Source organism: Homo sapiens, chromosome 4 (genome assembly GCF_000001405.40).
Source record: "Homo sapiens chromosome 4, GRCh38.p14 Primary Assembly".
NCBI classification, from domain to species: Eukaryota; Metazoa; Chordata; class Mammalia; order Primates; family Hominidae; genus Homo; species Homo sapiens.
Window position 1 is genome coordinate 24761386 of NC_000004.12, and position 19887 is coordinate 24781272.

The 19887-nt window shown below is 42.0% G+C and overlaps 1 long non-coding RNA gene and 1 pseudogene across 1 annotated transcript; one reads left to right on the top strand and one right to left on the bottom strand.

Moving 5' to 3' along the window:
* Nucleotides 1-489: 489 nt before the first annotated feature.
* On the bottom strand, nt 490-6406 carry LOC124900683 (uncharacterized). Its single transcript, XR_007058079.1, has 3 exons — nt 6296-6406; nt 2337-4559; nt 490-1617 (listed from the first exon to the last, which is right to left on the bottom strand). It is a non-coding gene; the product is annotated as an uncharacterized LOC124900683 (long non-coding RNA).
* On the top strand, nt 10022-11235 carry HNRNPA1P65 (heterogeneous nuclear ribonucleoprotein A1 pseudogene 65; annotated as a pseudogene).
* The last annotated feature ends 8652 nt before the right edge of the window (nt 11236-19887 follow it).

Below are 19887 nucleotides of genomic sequence, written 5' to 3' on the forward strand. Positions count from 1 at the left end.
ATGTAGGCACAAATCAGCTGGAGATCTTGTTAAAATGCAGATTCTGATTCAGTGAGTCTGGGGTGGGGCCTGAGATTCTGCATTGCTGAGCAAGCTTCCAGATACTGGCCCAGGGACCAGGCTTTGAGCATCAAGGGCCTAGGGTTGGTTCAGTGGCAGATGCACGGCTTGAAGTTGCATGACAGATTACTGCAACTGTAGAGACTAGACATTGTTGGGCAGGGACCCAGGTAGCACACTCATTGACTCCGCAGATATGAGCAGAGCACCTACTGTGTGCCAGGTGCTGTTAAAATGCTGGGACACTGCAGGGAATGAAACAAAGTCCTTGCTTTCATGGAATTCCCATTCCTGAGAAGCAAAATCATGTTTATAGCGCACTCTTCAATCTCTCAGAGGATTCTTTTTTTGGCTTCAATTTTTCATATCACAGCTTATCCTGAAGAAGGAGAAAGATAAAGGACTAGAGAAAAGTAGAATAACTCAAAATACTTTTTTCTTCCATTTTATTTAAGAAGTCTGAACATTTCTTAGACTCATAAATAAATTTTTCAGAAAAGATGTTCATATATTTATACAGGCATATTCATTTATACTTCCTCCAAATAATTTCTAACAAAATATACATCAAGACACATTATAATGTTCTTGCCATATGGGGATATAGACAGAGGCATGACATGAATATTGACTTTTAAATTGGGGTGGTTCAAAAATATGGATCAAGACAGTGTTTAGAGGGAATAGACAGTATTTTAAGGGAGCCAAGGGTGATTTTCCACTGCCTTCTAGGTTCCTCCCAGGAAGTCTGGGAAAGTGGGAAGGAAACACCCAATAGATCAGCAGACTAGGTGAGGCAGTGAAATGTAGTGGCCAAAAGCATGGGTTCAAATCCTGTCTCCATCGGTTACAAATTGTGTGACCTTGGCAAGTTATTGAATGTCTTTGATGTCTAGTATCTTCATCTTAAAAGGGGGGATAAAGTCTATCTTGCAAGTTGGTTGAGAGAATGAATGAAATGAATATATGCATGACTCATGCTTAACTCTCAATCAATGATAACTTGGTATCAAGCTGGACATAGACCAGAATGTCAGCATAGTTCAGGGCTATTTTTGACATACATGTAAGCAATGCAGAGGAGTAGATCTAGCTCAGGCTACAAATGTTCTCCTGGGCCAACTTTCCAGAAGGAGGCTGAGAACACAGTAGAAGAATTTTATTGAGAAAAAAAAAAAAAAAGCACTAACTAGATAGTAAAGGGCTGAGTTAGACTGAGCAGGAGAGGATTCTATGGCTACAACGAGTGTAAATTCCCTCCTAAGATCAGAGTACTGAAATTTCACACCAGGTCCACCAGAACAGCTTTTGAATTTATGATGCTTTTAAATATGCTTTAAGATGACAACACCCAATCTGGTGAAGTTACAATAAAACTTCTATATCATAAGTTGCTGGTGGCAAATTGGTACTATCTTTTAGGAAAGTAATTTGGCAGTATGAATTAGAAATTATGAAAATATTCATCCTCTGTCACTTGATTGTTCTTCTTTGGAAAGTTATTCTAAGGAAATAATCCAAACGAAGGAAAACAAGGAAGATGATTGTTTTCATTACCTATATTGAAGAAGAAGAAAAAAACAGAAAGCAGCTATGTAATTCAAAGGATATTTATGTAACAATATAATCTAGTTATAATTGGGGCATATCAAAATTACTTGAAAACGTAGCGGTTTAGGCCGGGCAATGTGGGTCATGCCTGTAATCCCAGCACTTTGGGCAGCCAAGATGGGAAGATCACTCAGGCCTAGGAGTTTGAGACCACTGTAGGCAACATGGCAAAACCCCCTCTTTACAAAAAAAAATACAACAATTAGCCAGGCATGGTGGCATGTGACTGCAGTCCCAGCTACTTGGGAGGTAGAGGTGGGAGGACCACCTGAGCTTGGGGAGGACGAGGCTGCAGTGAGCCGTGATTGCACCCCTACACTCCAGCCTGGCTAACAGAATGAGACCCTAATGAGATGCTGTCTCAAAACAAAAACAATAAAAAATAGCAGTTTAAACCAGTCATGTTCATTTGCTCACATTTTTTTTTCTTTGGAGACGGAGTCTCACTCTGTCGCCCAGGCTGGAGTGCTCAAGCTCTGCCTCCCGGGTTCATGCCATTCTCCTGACTCAGCCTCCCGAGTAGCTGGGACTACAGGTGCCCGCCACCATGCCCGGCTAATTTTTAGTATTTTTAGTGGAGATGGGGTTTCACTGTGTTAGCCAGGATGGTCCATTTGCTCACAGTTTTATGAGTCAGAAATTCAAAAAGGTTGGGAAGTTCTTACTTGGAGTCTGTCGTGGACTGCATTCAGATCTCTGTTGGGGCTGTAGTCCTCCAATGGCATGACTAGGCTTGTCATCCGAGATGGATCACTCACATGACAGGCAGTTGGTTTCAGCTGAAAGCTTAGCTGGGCTGTCAGCCAGAGCACCTACACGCAGCCTCTCCAGCATAGCAGCCTCTCCAGCATAGCAGCCTCAGGATAATCAGATTTCTTTACAGGGTTTTTGTTTCTCCCAGAGGTAAAATCCCAAGAACACCAGGTGTAAGCTTCGTAGCTTTTTCTAATCTGATCTTGAAAGTTATGCTGTGTCATGTCTCCTGTATTCTTCTGGTTAAAAGTGAGACATTAATGCTGGCCCAAACTCAAGGGGAGGGGATACACACTCCACCCATCAATGGGAGGAATGTCAGAGGAATTACAGACATGTTTTAAAATTGCTACAGTCTTATTTGCATACCTCCCACATGCAACATACTCTCTCCCTTATCAAGATCTCCCAAAGGCTCAACTATTACAGCATCAGACTCAGGCTGGACGTTCAGGATCACATCATCTCAGTCAGGTCCAGGTGTAAATTCATCTGCTCAAGTTTCTGAAGACCTCAGGACTAAAGAGATCAAGGGTTAGAATAAATAAAATAGACACTCCTATTCCAAAAGGAAGGGATGGCAAGCACAGAGCAGTCACTAGTCCAGAGAAACTTGAAATTCAACTGGGTACCTGTCACCAGTTCTTTGTTCATGTCATCCAGTACTGTGGATTGTACTAATACTGATTTGTACTAATTGTACTAGGGGATTGTTCATCAGTACTGATTTGTACTGATTGTGCTAGGGAATTCCTCCTCTAGGTTCTCAGCTCCTCCATCTGGGCTCCTGGTTTTTCCCTCTGAGTCGTCCTTCCCTTTTAATAATAAGCAGCCTGTGAGTGCGGCGGGGTGGCTCTCTCATTTGGCTTCCTTCCCACAGAAGGTTGTGGATCAGAACCACTTTCATTTTGTGCTGCTTCTGTCTCTTTCAGACCAAGATGATATTGCTTCTGCCAATATAATTCCCTTGAAATATTTGTTAGCTTTTATGAATCTTACTAGAGTCCCTTCATTGGACAAATACCACAAAGGGTCTTTGGGATAGCCTCTTCTCTATCTTTGATTCTCTATAAGGCTGCAACATCTTTCAGAGCCTAGAAGCTCTATGATTTAAGAGGGGTGATCTACTACAAAGCATGATCTTAAGATCTTTAGATACATTTTATCTAGCAGACCATGTCTAGGAGATACCATTTTAAATCTTTCTGAAATCATAAAAAAAGTGTTGTAAAGTTGCCCCTCTGGCTTTATTTTTACCCTTTGGTGGCATTTTCCCGAAAGAGCCCTGAGTTTGATCTTTTCCCTAAGGTCCTTTCTTACTTTAAGAATCCTTTGCTGACTGAAAATATTCTCTTGAGCCCTTTGTATTTCTTTCAAATTTCCCTTGAAAATAAAATAGTTGGTTTTTTAAAGTTTATTTGTTTATTCTCTTTACTTTCATTTTATCATAGGCAATTAGAAGAAGCCAGATGGCATCTTAAACACTCTGCTTGGGAATTTTCTTAGCTAGATCATCGCATTCCTTTAGTACATTTTCTATTTTCCACATTACTGCAGGTGATAGTTTTGCAAAACTTTCCACCACTACATAACCATGGTCTCCTCTCCTTCAGCTTCTTGTAAATCTCCCTCACCTTCCTTTAAGCCCTCCCTGACATATTGCACTTCTCAAGGCCCATCAGGTTTCAGTTTACATTCCAGCCCTTGCCTGCTGCCTAGTCTCAAAACCAATGGCATGTGGTTTAGATTTCTATTATTGCAGACCCTCATTTCCACATACCACAATTCTTTCTGTTTACTATTGCTGTGTGAAAATTTGTCTTTAAATGTAGTGGCCTACAACAACCATTTCATTTTGCTCATAATTTTGTGCATCAGAAATTTGAAGAGGGCTCAGCTGAGCAGTTCTCATTTGAGGTTACTCACGCAGTTGCAGTAAGATGTCAGCTGGGGCTGCAAACATCTGATGACTTGACCAGCCTGGATGTCCAAGATGGCTCACGTGTGCGGTTAAGAGCTGGCTCTGCTGTCAGCTCTGAGCTCAGCTGGGCTGTCTTCGGTGTCTACATGTGGGCTTTCTAGCACAGCACTCTCAGGATACTTGGCCTTCTTCATGGTGCTGGTTTTCCCTGGAGCTAACATCCCAAAAGAACCAGGCAGAAGTTGTATGGTCTTTTCTGACCCAGTTTTGAAAGTTAAAAACAACATCACATCTGCTGCATTCTATTGGTTATAAGGTGCTCACTAAGTCATCCCAGATTCATGGGTAGGGGACATAGGTACCACCCCTCCATGAGATGAGTGACAAACAATTTGCAGATATGTTTTAAAACTGCCACACAACATATTAAATTCTCTAAGGTTAGGGATAAAAAAGCAGAATATATAATTGCATATGACCTGGGATTGAAAGCAGTATCCAGGAATGGACATATGAAAAACACTGGAAAGAAATGCAAAAAATATTGTATTTTTTCATTATTGTAGATGATTTTTTTCCATTTATTTTATAGTAGGAAAGAAAGAATGAATGAAAGAAAAGAAAACATATTTCTAAGAGATTCAATACTTTTTCTTTATAACCTCTGCTCCTTTTATCTTACAGTTTATCTTTGGGATAGCCATGAGAATCACTTTAAGTTGGGTTTGAGGATGAGAGGGAGCATTGACAACATGACCAGTTGGATATGAAGGTAGCCTTGGCTGTGGTGAAGTCGGATTGAGCAGTAATGCACAGGGCTATTATGTGACACTTCAAGGACTAATTAGGGCCAGGAGGAAGCCCAAAAGTGTTATCTCTTATGTGCAGGATCAAGACACCCAAGTAGGTTCACACATTTCATGGCCATTAAATTCTGTTTGCCCCATGAAACAAGTAAGGAGACATAGGTCAAATGTTGAAACTGAAAAGTGGTACAGATCTGTCCAAACAGAATGTTCTTGCATTCAATCACTCAAGCAATGTGGAATTAAAAGCTATGTGTTATTATTAGATGCTCTACACTACACACCCAGACTTCCCTCTACCTGCTGATGTCCAGAGAACTTTCTTAACCTAGTTTTGCTCACACAGCAGGACCTGGATCCCAGTACAGATCCAGAGTCCTGTTATGGACTGAATTGTGTTCCCCCAAAATGTGTATCTTGAAACCTGAAGTCCCAATGTAACTGCATTTGAAGATAGGGCCTTTAAAGAGGTAATTATGGTTAAATACGGCCATAAGGGTGAGGCCCTAATCTAACAGGATTGGTGTCCTTATAAGAAGACAGACACCAAATAGCTCTCCTCTTTCTCTAAATGCACGCACATAGGCAGGCCATGTGAAGATACAGAGAGAAGGCAGCCATCTGCAAGCTGCAGAGAGAGGCTGCAGGAGTGGTCAATCCTGCTGACACCTTGATCTTGGACTTCCAGCTTTCTCAACGGTGCTCAAACAAGTTTCTGTTGTTTAAGTCACCGAGACTGTGGTACTTTGTTATGGCAGCCCTAGAAAACTAATAAAAAGTCCTTCAAGCTGATTCCTGGTATCCTTTTGGCATGCCCTGATCATTTATTGAGCATTTCTTTACTTTCTAGCACAATAGGATGTTCTGTGTCATTTAGTACCTTTTCTGCCTGTGGTAGGCCGCACAATGGCCTCCCAAAAAGGTCCACATAGGAATCCTCTACACCTGTGAATAAGTTGCCTTAAAGGTGTTTGGCCCAGTGCATATGCCACCATGTAAAATCGGCTTCCATGAGTAGCAAGAAAAAATTTTTGGAAAATCACATTTGTCACTTTGCCTAATGAGAGAAATGTTGAAAAGAAGGTTAATTGAAATTTAAGAAAATAAAAGGCTGTTTGGGGGATGAGAATGGTTTGCTTCTTACCTTCTCTGCACAGCAGAGATACACAGAAATGGTTTAGAGTTGCCATGGGATGGACTTGAAGTGGGTGGTAAGGAAATTCCAATGTGTCTACATCAGGTGCAGTGCCAGGGGCTAAGAAAAAGACAAAGATGCTTAAGACATGGTCCCTGTCCTCAAAGGATTCAATCTGGGGATAGTTTCTCACCTACATGGGAAACCAAAGAGATTACCTAGAATAAGGGCATTTTTGTGGTGCTAGCAAGTAAATCAGAAGGCTGATGTACTGATTCAACTGATGTACTGATTCAACTGATGTGTAGATTTTAAGGATAGAAGGAAGAAATATAGCAATGACAAATTTGATTGGAAAAGATCAGCTGGGACGATCATACTCATCCCAAATGCAGCTTTATCACAATGGAATGATGCCTGATACAAAAGAAACAACAGAACATGGCAGATCAAGGTGTTGTGAAAACACTGAGCTGGTTGAAGTCACTGCACCTGTGTTTGCTGATCTTAAACAGCTGCGTGTGGATAATGTTAGCAGGAACAGGGCAATTGAGGAACTTGAGAACGCTAGTGCTGTGATTGAAGCCACCTGTCCTGGCATCACAGGTAAGATGGTGAAAAAGTTAACTGGGAAATTTCAAAATCGTTCCACTGATGTATCCTCTTCTAAGCTTTTCGTTATTGGCTTCTGTTTCATATGAAACCCAGTAAAGCTCTTCAAGCTTGCCTTCATGCCTAACTCAAAAGCTCCATATGCCTTTCACACTTTTGCAACTTGTTGATGATTAAAGACTTTAAAGAACTTTCCTCATCCCCACGAGAAAAGTGCTTTGTGTAGTGGTTAAAAGCGTGGATTTTGGAGTGATCATCCAGGTACAAGGCCTGAGAAGCTTTACAAGCTGTGTGAGTTTAGTTGAGTTATTAAACATTTCTGGGCTTCAGTTTCTCTTCCACAAAATGGAAATAATAATAAAACATCCTTATGGTAAATGGGAATTGAAGACTATTCTATACCTGGTTGACTCCAGGTCTGACTCCTTTGCAAAATGTTTGAACCACTGAAGAGAGACTGGTGAGTTTGGTGTTATTTCATTTTGACCAAGCTCTTGGTCTTGGGCCTAGATGTAGGTGAGAAAAGCACTTCCTCTTTTTGGAGCTTGGTCTGGGCTGTAAGGTGTGGGGACATCTGGGGTGCTTCTGACAGTTGCTCAGGGAAGCCCAGCCCAGCCCCAAAGTGGCCATCAGTTTGCAATCTAGGAAACTGACCTGTAAAAATGCAGGGATAGACCTGGGTCCATCAAATCTGTGAGTTTTTATCTGGCTTTTACTTTCCTGCCATTATTCCCACACCTAGGCTAGTTTTTAATAAGAATGACACCCTGGCCTCTGATTTGCTGTGGTAAACAAGCAGATGGGCCTGCCCATGTGTGAGATGAAGTGGACACAAGGAGGTAGCAATCCCTCCCTGAGGTCAGGCTGGAGGTAGCATTGAGGCCACCAGAAGAGGATCATTGGTGGCAGAGGCACCATATGGTGGTATGGTGAAGAGATTCAAGTGGCAGAACACACGAGTCTGTGCCCGAGTACATGAGAGAGATGCCCAAAACACTGAAATAGCTGGAATTCACTGGATGGAATCATGGGATATTTCCTGCTAACTATGTGGGCAGGGCCATAGATGTAGTCCCTTGGGTTACTAGCCCAACACCTTCATTTAACAGAACACACACGTGTCTACAGTCAGTGGGGATGGTCGCTGTATTTAACCACTGCTGTGTTGTCAAAGACCATTCCAAAAGGATGTAACTGATCCTGGTGCTGAAGCTTACAATCATTTATGGAAGAAAGCAAATCCTATTGCTGGTGACATGGAAGATCTCCAAAGCCCCTTTATAAAGGAGAGAAGGGGTATTTGGGTTTTCCATCATTTCCCCAGCAAACTGTAATTTCTATCTATTGAGATTGGTAGAACTTTTGCCACCAATCTTTCTGAATTCTGGGTTTTGTTACTGGGTTTTTTTTTCTTTCAAAAGAGTGAATCAGATTTTCTGGATGTCCCACTGTGCCAGGAATTAACCCTTTAGTTTCTGGATCCTGGGGAAGTTCCTGAGGTTCCAGAAGAGGGGCTGGGTAGCTGACAGTGGGGAAGCAAACAGAGAGCTTGAGTCAATGTCTATTTACCAGGCTGTATGAAAATATTCCAATGTTTTAACAACCGGAGCATCTGGGACTGGTGCACCCCAGTCCTGCCTACACAACCAGGACCACACACAGCAGAAGTCTTCTCACACTCGTGTCATTCCTGAGAGGTTTTACACAGAAAACTGAGGCTCTGCTGAACTTTAGCGGGGAATAGGATAGGAGCACAACACTGCGCTTTCAGGCTGTCTCTCATACTTGGATAGCTCTTCCCACGTACCCTCTTGTGTAAGCAGAGAAGCCATGTGGGAGAGACCCTATGCTATTGTCCCTTCCCCTTGAGTCTCTGAAACAAGGCAGATCTATATGTCATAGTTCCTGTTTTAGAGCTGCAATCTGCCAAAAGGTTGACTTATCTTTAACGAACTCTTCTGCTTCTGGGCCTGCATGAATGCTAGTCAATTCATAACTGGCAAAATGAAGCTATTTCCATGACCACAAAAACCCATTCAGGGTCCCCACAAACTCAGCCCACACCCTCCTATTCCAAATCAATGAGGCTGACTCAATTTCCTGCTGACTCACAGCAGTCCCAGCTTTACCAGTCAGCTGGTTCCCCAGGTTAAAAGTGGCTCCAGGCAGAACCCAAGATCCCTGGGAACCAGAGTGTTGCATGTGGCCACTGTAAGAGGCTTAGCATGAGTCCTCAGACCCCCTGCTGTTTCCACATGGCCTGGGCCTTCTCACTGGACTGAATGTTTCAAGTGTGCACTCTGAACCTGGAGCCTGAAGAAGGGTAGAGGATACAAGGCCAGCTGGACGTGCAGAGCTGAGATTGCTGCTTAGCCAAAGGCCCCCAAGTTCTCACCCGTTACCCGAGATGAAACACCTCAGGAAATCCAGGCAACCTGATGACCAGCTGCTTATAAAAAGCGATTCTAAATACACTTTCCAATCATTTATAGAAGAAAGCAAATCCTATTGCTGGTGACATGGAAAGTCTCCAAAGCTCTTTTATAAAGGAGAGAAGGGATAATTTGGTTGTCCAGGATTTTCCCAATAAATCATGGATTCCTTCCTACTGAGATCAACAGAACTCTTGCCACCAATCTTTGTGAGTTCTGGGTTTGGACACTGGGGTTCTTTCAAGAGGACAGAAAGAATCAGATTTTCTTAAGAGGATATATTAATGACTTAAAATGAATCTCTTTGCACATTTTACAACACTCGCTACCACTGACAAAAAAGTTGATATTCTTCTAATAAAAACATCCAATTCAGAGATAATGAAAACTAAAAAAAAACTGTATCTTCTCATAATCCTCAATTTTAATAAAATCTATGGGCTCTGGCAACAGGGCTTACAAATGACAAGTAGAAGTTTCATCTTGGGGGAGCCACAGGGGAATTTCAGAGAGAATCTGTTTGTAACCAAACCAGAGAAGCACAACTTCAAATAACCACCAAACTTCTGTCTTCACTCCCTAAACATGAGGTTTTTGAGTATTTCCAAACAACTTAAATTGTGATAGTTAATTTTATGTGTCAACTTGGTGGGGCCGTGGTGCTCAGATATGCGGTCAAACATTATTCTGGCTTTCTGCCTGGGGATGCTGCCAAGAAAGCATCATTAAAGTCTCTCTTCCCATGGGCGTCATGTCTAAGCCAGTCTCCTAAAGATCCTGAACAGGTGCGGAAGCTCTACATCAGGGGCTTGAGCTTTGAAACAACTGATGAGAGTCTGATGGGCCATTTTGAGCAATGGGGAAGGCTCACTCTCACAGACTGTGTGGTCTGAGAGATCCAAACACCAACAGCTCCAGGGGCTTTGGGTTTGTCACCAATGCCACTGTGGAGGAGGTGGAGGCAGCCATGAATGCAAGGCCACACAAGGTGAATGGAAGAGTTGTGAAACCAAAGAGAGCTGTCTCAAGAGAAGATTCTCAAAGAGCAGGTGTCCACTTAACTGTGAAAAAGGTATTTGTTGGTGGCATTAAAGAAGACACTGAAGAACATCACCAAAGAGATGATTTCAGACAATTTGGGAAAACCGAAGTGATTGAAATCATAACTGAATGAGGCAGTAGCAAGAAAAGGGGCTTTGCTTTTGTAAGCTTTGAAGACCATGACTCCAAGGATAAGACTGTCATTTGGAAACGCCATCCCGTGAATGGCTACAACTGTGAAGTTAGGAAAGCCTTGTCACACAAGAGATGGCTAGTGCTTCATCCAGCCAAAGAGGTCAAAATGGTTCTGGAAACTTTGGTGGTGGTCGTAGAGGTGGTTTTGATGGGAATGACAACTTTAGTCATAGAGGAAACTTCAGTGGTTGTGCTGGCTTTGGTGGCACCCATGATGGTGGTGGATGTGGTGGCAGCGGGGATGGCTATAAGGAATTTGGTAATGATGAAAGCAATTTTGGAGGTGGTGGAAGCTACAATGATTTTGGCAATTAAAACGATTAGCCTTCAAATTTTGAATCCATGAAGGGAGGAAACTTTGGAGGCAGAAAGCTCTGGCCCCTGTGGTGGTGGAGGCCAATACTTTGCCAAACCATGAAACCAAGGTTTCAGTAGCAGCAGTAGCTATGGCAGTGGGGGAAGATTTTAATTACTGCCAGGAAACAAAGCTCGGCAGGAGAGCGAGCCAGAGAAGTGACAGGGAAGCTACAGGTTACAACAGATGTGTGAACTCAGCCAAGCACTGTGGTGGCAGGGCCTAGCTGCCACAAAGAAGACATGTGTTAGACAATACTCATGTGTATGGGCAAAAAACTCAAGGACTGTATTTGTAATTAATTGCATAATAGGTTATTTTTGTTTCTGTTCTGTGGTAAGTATAAAGCATTCCAACAAAAAGCATTAAATGTAGACTTTTTTGTTGCACCCATGCTGTTAATTCCTAAATGTAATAGTCTGATCATGATGCTGAATAAATATGTCTTTTTTTTTTTTTTTTTGAGACTGAGTCTCGGTCTGTCTGTCGCCCAGGCTGGAGTGCAGTGGCGCAATCTCAGCTCACTGCAAGCTCCGCCTCCCAGGTTCACACCATTCTCCTGCCTCAGCCTCCCGAGTAGCTGGGACTACAGGCGCCCGCCACCAGGCCCGGCTAATTTTCTGTATTTTTAGTAGAGACGGGGTTTCACCGTGTTAGCCAGGATGGTCTCGATATCCTGACCTCGTGATCCACCCGCCTCGGCCAAATATGTCTTTTTAAAACAAACACACAAAGAAACAAAACATTATTCTGGATATTTCTGTGAGAATGTTTTTCTATGAGATTAACACTGAAATCAGGAGACTCTGAGTAAAGCAGTTTTCCTTCCATAAAATGGGTGGGCTTTATCTAATCAGTTGAAGGCCCGAATAGAACTGACCTCCCTGAACAAGAGAGAATTCAGCAGCAGACACTCTTTAAGATTGAAGTGCAGCATCAGCTCCTCCCTGGGTCCCCACCTGATGGCCTCAGGACTTGAACTGTAGTATTAATTTTTCCTGCCTCCAGGTCTCCTGCCTCCTGGCCCACCCTACAGATTTTGGACTTTCCAGCCTCCATAATCATGTAAGCCAATTACATTTATATGTAAGCCATATACAATTTACATACATGTATACATGTACATACACATACATATATGTATACATGCATATATGTACATACACATACATATATGTATACATGTATATATGTACATACATATACATATATGTATACATGTATATATGTACATACATATACATATATGTATACACGTATATATGTACATACATATACATATATGTATACATGTATACATGCATATGTGCATACATGCATATATGTATACATGCACATATGTATGTATATATACATATATGTAAATTGTATTGCGTGTGTACATATATACACACACATAAACACACACACACATTCTACTGGTTCCATTTCTCCAGAGAATCCTGACAAATGTGTTTCCCTGCTTCCCTAATTTGATTCCTTTCTTATATTCTCTTCCCAACCTTGGCTGAACAGTGGAATCACCAGGGTAGCTTTAAAAAATACAGATACAGCTGGGCACAGTGGCTCACACCTGTAATCCCAGCACTTTGGGAGGCCGAGGTGGGCAGATCACCTGAGGTCGGGAGTTCAAGACCAGGCTGACCAACATGGAGAAACCCCATCTCTACTAAAAATACAAAATTATCTGGGCATAGTGGCACATGCCTGTAATCCCAGCTATTCGCGAGGCTGAGGCAGGGGAATTGCTTGAACCTGGGAGGTGGAGTTTGCAGTGAGCTGAGATTGTGCCATTGCCCTCCAGCCTGGGCAACGAGAGCAAAACTCCATCTCAGAAAAACAAACAAACCAACAAACAAACAAAAAACAAATGCCTGGGTCCCCATCTTCAGACAGTCCAGTTTGATTAATCTGGGCTGTGGCCTAGGTACTAAGATTTTAAAAGCTTCCCAGATGATTCTAAAGTACAGACGATCTCAAACTTATGTTGTTTTGACTTATAGTTTTTTGATTTTACGATGGGTTTATAGAGATATCATTCCATTGTACATTGCGGACCATCTTAGTTACAATGGTTCAACTTACAGTATTTTGACTTTACCATGGGTTTATAAGAATGTAATCTGATGCATTTTGACCTACTATATTTTCAATTTATGTTGTGTTTCCTGGGGCATAACCCCTCATAAGTTGAGGAGCATCTGTACAAGCACAGTTGAGAAACATTGTCTTAGAGTTCCTTGGTTAAAAAAAAATCTAAATAAGAACTGGGCTAAAGCTCTTCAAGTATACTATTTCATAATCAGCTGTTGAATTCCTTTGCTGTGAATCTTACCTTTATGAGACTCTAGAGTAGAATCACAAGGTCCTAGGAACAGGTACGTTTTCCTCACCAACCTACTTATGAAAGTTCTTCAGGTTACTAAATGTGAACCATGCTACTTTGTATTTACAGAAATTCCTATCTTTAAAAGAAAAGCATGCTTTTCAATTTCATTTCAAAGTCTTATGACAACACTTTGACGTTGGCAAGTGGCTAGTTAATTTGCATCCATTTTATTTGCAAGGAAGCTGGGGCAAAAATGATTATTTCTTTGCATGGAATTCTTCCTATCAGTCACAACTGTCCAATGAAGTAATAAATTGCCTTTTAAGATTTTCCTCCCATAGTGATTCTTATGAAGTCATGGAACCATGCCTACTTCTATATTTGCACATGAGCAAAGTGACATGCACACAAGGTTATCCATTAAAGCCTGGTTTGTGGAAGTAAAAGACTGGAAACATCCTAAGTGTCTGCCATCAGGGACAGGTTAAAAAATTATAGCACTTCTAAAGATGGCACAGTATGCACACATAAAGGAGAATGAGGCAGCCCTTCATGCTCTGATATAGAATGATCCAGTACAGTGCTACAGCCAGTTTGGACCAGTTCAGGAGGGCAGATTGTTAGCGTCTCTTCTTAATTTTGCAGTCAGCAACAACTTGAAATTTGCCATGGTGGGAGTTACATTATGAAAATCTATAAATGGTATGAATCAGAGCATAGCTCACTCCATAAGAGGCAGTTGCTGAATATTTACTAGCACGCCACTGAAAAGATCTCTAAGACCCACTTTAAAGTGAATAAAGCAAGGTGTTGCACAATCTGCACAGTATGCAAGCAACTGTGTAAAAACAGGGGAAATTATTGTGCATTAAAAAACCTCTAGATTCTTTAAAACTTAAACATAGAATTACCATATGTATTCCCAAGAGAAGTGGAAACATATGTCCACACAGAAACATGAAAACAAATGTTTGTAGCAGCATTATTTATAGGAACCAACAGGTAAAAACAACCTAACTGTCCATCAGCGGATGAATGAATAAATTAATGGCGGTGTGGGCATACACTAGAATAATATTCAGCCATGAAAAGGAATGAAGTATTGATGAATGCCACAACTTGGATGAACCTCAAAAACATTATGCTAAGTGAAAGCAGCCAGACACAAAAGGTCACATATTATATGATTCCTTTTATATGATACAGGCAGAATAGTCAAATCTATAGAGACAGAAAACAGATTAGTGGTTACCAGGGAATGGAGGAAAGGGAATGAGGAATGATTATTTAATGGGTAATTTTTGTGTGTGTGTTTCTGGAGTGATGAAAAAGTTTTGAAACTAAAGAGTGGTAGTGGTTGCACAACATTATGCACACATTAAATGCCACTGAATCGTACAGGCTCACACCTGTAATCCTAACACTCTGGAAGGCCAGGAGGGCAGATGCTTGAGCATGGGAGTTCGAGACCAGCCTGGGCAACATGGTGAAACCCCGTCTCTACCAAAAATACAAAAAATTAGCCAGGCGTGGTGGCGTGCACCTGCGGTCCCAGCTACTCAGGATGCTAAGGTGGGAGGATCACTTAAGCCTGGAAGGTGGAGGTCGCAGTGAGCTGAGATTGCACCACCACACTCTAGCCTGGGTGACAGAGTGAGACACCATCTCAAAAAAAAAAAAGAAAGAAAAAGAAAGAAAAAAGAAAGAAAACAAAAACATAAATCTCTGGCAGGCTGCACAGAGAAACTGGTAAGCTGTCTCTAAAGAGGAGAACTGGTTGTCTGGGAGACTGGGTGTGGGAGTAACTTCATTGTATGCCTTATTGTTTGAACCATATGGACAAGAGGGGATAGGAAGGTCTAAGAGACACATACATCCCCTCTGTAAAACCCAAGGTAAATGGATAAATAACGAATTAATGGCAAATCACAATTAATTTAGAATCTACAAACTGAAAGCACTCTCTTTCCAGAGACTCTCATTGGTTGGTCTTCCATCACCATATCCCATCAGGTAGGAGTATCTCTACCAGGCAGCACTTGGACACCTGTATTTACTCTGCCCTGCGAATGGAGGATGCAGCGTGATGCTGGGGATACTTGGTCGTAGAGTGGGTGAGGTGGATCTGGGAACAGCCATATGGCCTTGGGTTAGGCACGTAACCTGTCTAAACATGAGTTTTCTCTTCTGTAAAACGGAGATGATCAGGTCCACCTCTCGGAACTGGTATGACAATGGTATGGAGAATTAAGATAACACATGCGTGTGCCCAACACACTGTAGGCACTGAGCAACGCTGATATCGTTTCCTGGGAAGGGGATGATGCTGAGGGATTCTGCCTGCTCAGGAGACTCTCCCTGGTGACTCCTGAAGATTTCCTCAGCCTGCTTTGTTCAACTGGCCCAGCACTAGCATAACCTTGTTCCTGTGTCTTTATGAGCCCTTCTTTTCTTCTGTTTTATAAACCAAGACTGTATCATTGAAGTGGAGAGTCAATAGAAAAGTAAGAGAATTAGATTCTTAAGGGTAACTAGAGCTGTGATTTATTGAGTGCTTACCTTGGGCCTCATATTTTAAATGCATTATTTCTAACACTTACAACAGCCCCAGAAGCAATATATTTCAATCCTCATTTATAGGGAAGAGAGAGCTTAAGTAACCTGCTCACCATTACATTGTGCTAGAGCAGGGATTTGAACCCAGGACTGCCTGGCTTTCTACTCGATCATATTCCATCATGGAACCCGGCTTGCAAATTGCCAAAGTCAAGACTACTGGACTGTGTGGACCTAAAACAATTGTAGAATCTAGATGAAAAGTGGAAGGGGCCCAGAAAATTATTGAGTCTAACCCTCACCTCATAAGAAACCCCTACTTCAACATCCTGACTCTTTGATGGAAAGCTCATCACCTCATGTGACAGCCCATTCCATTTTTAGACAACTCTAATTACTAGAAAGACTCATAATGTGCTATTTGCCAGACAGATTCACCTGCTATTTTCATTACAACTTCATACACCCTGATGAGGCCATTATTAAGACATCCTTGGCTGAAATCCTGAACTCCATTACCTCCTGGACTTGCAATAAGGCCCCTAACACCATTGCCAAATAAAGTTACTCCAGAACATCAGCGTTGCAGACAAAGTCACGAGAGGGATGTTGATTACAACTTCAAATGAGTCTGGGATAGGTGATTATCTATTTCTAAGGAAAGGTTATGCTGGATGGGATGTATTGTCACTCGGGACAGAGGTATAGCATATACTGCAGAAGTTTAAAATAATCAGAGTCGTGTGTATGCAACACAATTCCCTGGTTAATTAAAATGCTTGCAAAAAGCAGTGAAAGCTGATTTTTGTGCTTCTCCTTCTTCCTGGTTTTCAGCTTCTTCGGCAGTTTTCTGTTGAGTGAAGGACAGTCAGGTCTAAATGATGAAATATGAGCTCGTGTCACTAGCTTCCCACACCATGAACTTACTGTAAGAACTAACAACTAATAATGGAGATTAAAAATGGATAAGAATTAAAAAGGGGAATCCAAGGTCCTCTGAGTGTGTGAGCTGCGCTCATCTGGTTCTCTGCGGGGGAAGCAGAATATGTTTACGTGATTGTGTGAACTGCAGGAAACTAAAAGATGCCAGGGTCAGAAGAGTAAAATGTGGCTCCACTGGGACTTCAGGTGGCAAATAGGATTGAGAATCTTAACTTTAATGAAGACAACAAAAACCACATAATTAACACACACTGTTACCACCTCATTAGTCTCCCGGGGCTTAAATTATGCTAAAAATAATCAACACATTTTGTTTAAATAAGGCGCTGTTACAGGTGGTAATAAAGGCTTACTTCATAGCAGAATGAGGCCATTTTTCCACATTTTTTTCAGATGCTTTAAAGTAGGCCTTATCTTCATTCCAAGGAAAGGATTATTAAAAACATATGTGGAGTTGCGGAGAGGAAATGAGTGTATTAGTTAGAGTCTCTCTGGCTCTGAGCCTGACTCCAAAATCTTACACAACTCCATTTCACAACCCAGATCCCCAACATCAGGATTGTCTCATAAATGATGTGCTGTGGGGCATTGGTGCTGGCTACACATCAAGCTGCGAAATAGCCAAGTTTGGTCTGGTGCCTTTTCTTCTCTTTTTTCACACTGTAAGCATTAAAACTCCTCTTACATGTTTATACATTCACTGCCACCTAATCTGGGTTTGACCTATGACTATTTTGACCAATAGAATTTGGAGAAAGTGATGTTTCTGGATTTCTGAGCCCGGGCATTGCAAAGACCTGAAATCTTTGGCCATGCCTTGAGCCACTACAGAGGAAGTCCAATTTCCCCTGCTGTAGAGCCAGACCACAGGGAGAGGCCTTGGAGGTTGAGCCATCACCTGGAGATAGGCCATATGGCCTCTAAGCACCTGAGGCCTAGACATTCAGCCCAGTGGCAGCCTCAGCTGCCAACTGGCTACAACTGCAAGAAAGAACTTAAGCAAGGCCAGTAGAGGAACTGCCTGCCCATCCCTAGGTAACCCACAGAATCATGAGATATGATAAAATGGTTGTTGTTTTAAGCCACTAAATTTGGGATGCATATTGCAAAACAATAAATAACCAAAATGCCTCTTTGCATTATCCCTGTTAGGATGCCCTTTTCACCCACCCTTGACCATTGGTTATGGACTGAAGGATTGTGTCTCCCCAAAATTCGTATGTTGAAGCTCCAAACCCCAATGGATGGTATTTTGGGGTGGGGCCTTTGGAAGGTAATTAGGTTTAGATGAGGTCATGAGGGTGGGGGCCACCATGATGGGACAAATGTCCTTGCAAGAAGAGGAAGAGAAACCAGAGCTCGCTCTCTTCACCATATGTGAACATAGCAAGAAGGTGGCTGTTTGCAAGCCAGGAAGAGAGACCTTGCCAGGAACCAAATCTGTGGACACCTTGATCTTGGATTTCCTAGCCTCCAGAATTGCGAGAATCAAATGTCTATGGTCTACATCACCCTGTGGCATTTTGTTACAGCAGCCCGAGCTGACTAAGAAACCATCTGTCTGTGCATTTCCAAGATATCTCCTTGCACCTTTAGGAAAAATCATCCATGTGTGTTCACGTGTGTTCATGGAAGAAAGTCTCCCTCTGTTTCTTAGAAAAATTATCATATTCACTGTGATTCTCAGAGATGAGACTCCTAACTTCCTTGTGCAAGCCAAGGGAAAAATATTAAATTTTTCCATTACTTTCTTGCTCTTGTTTTCTCTCTGTGTAAAAACAGGAACTCCACCTATTCTCCACCACGGAGTTAAACAGCAAAACCCTGTGCTTGTGGGCTAGTGGTGCTGGTTGGGGGACGGATGAGAGTCATTGCTTGATTATGCTGCACTGAGTATCTCCCTAAGTTTTAGAGAGTGAGTGATGGCTCTGAAAAAGATACTTTTTTTCAAGCAGAAAGCTTTGCATTTCTGTCAAAAATCAGGGCAGATAACAAAACTGCTTCTACTTTTGTAGTGAAGCTCACAGCTTGCTCATAACAGAGAGCAACATAAAGTATCTGTGCAGCCCTGAAGGAGAGAAAGAAAAACAAAGCATTTTGAGACCACATTGAAGGAACATTTACATAGACCTGCTCTATAGCCTTGGCACCAGCAAAGTTAAAGTGCTAGAAGTATTGTTGACAAGACTGTACTTTGACCGAATTTAGAAACGTCGGATTGAATGAATAAATGGATGGATGGATGATGATGATGGGCAGAGAGAGTACAATTTATCCACCAGCTCTGCTAGAGGGAAACAACTGGAAATCATTTTGGGACCCGAAGATCTGTGAATGGCTCAGAACCAAGACGATGGGAGATGAAGATCCAGGCAGAAACATTTTCCTGTGCTGAACCCAGTTATGAGTTACATCACTTGCTCTAGATAAGGATTATATGAGACCTTATTATTGTCATTGCTTGTAGTTTGGAGCCTCTTTATTCATGCTCAAGTTAACTGTAAGCAGTTAATTCCATGGAATGAGTTTGGTCCTTCCCAACTAATTTTCTTGCTTTCTTTATAAAATCCCAAATTAAATAATGTCCGTAGTTCCTTAAAGAACTAAAGGTAAATATCTGAACCAGTGTGGCAGGTATTGTTGGCTGCCTAGCCAATAAAATCCTTCCCTCCTTCATAGTAAGGAAAATTTGATTTTGCTAGGGTAGCAAAACGTTCAATGAAAGAACATTTACTCTGCCAGACTCCTGTGACCCTAGGGATGCCTGTGACACATTTCTGACCATGAGACATAAACTGAAATTGTCTGGGAAAGAGGGTGTTTCTACTTCCCTTTTCTTTCTTCCTGCCTGAAGTGAGGTGCCATATCTGGAGGTGTATAAGCCACCTTGCAGCCTTGAGGCAACATTCATGAGGTCAGAAGCCTGAACACTGACAATGATGGCAAGCAAAGATGGGAAAATCGCAAGCCCTGCAGGTATCACGGAGCCACCCTACCAGCTCTGGACTTTTTGTTCCATGCAACAAATGCCTGAGTGTTCCAGCAAGGTTTTTTGTCATACTTTCCTTATTTGTAGCCAAAAGCATTCCTGGCAGATAGTCTTGGGTTGATCCAATTGAAAACTACTCTCTTGGTTCCA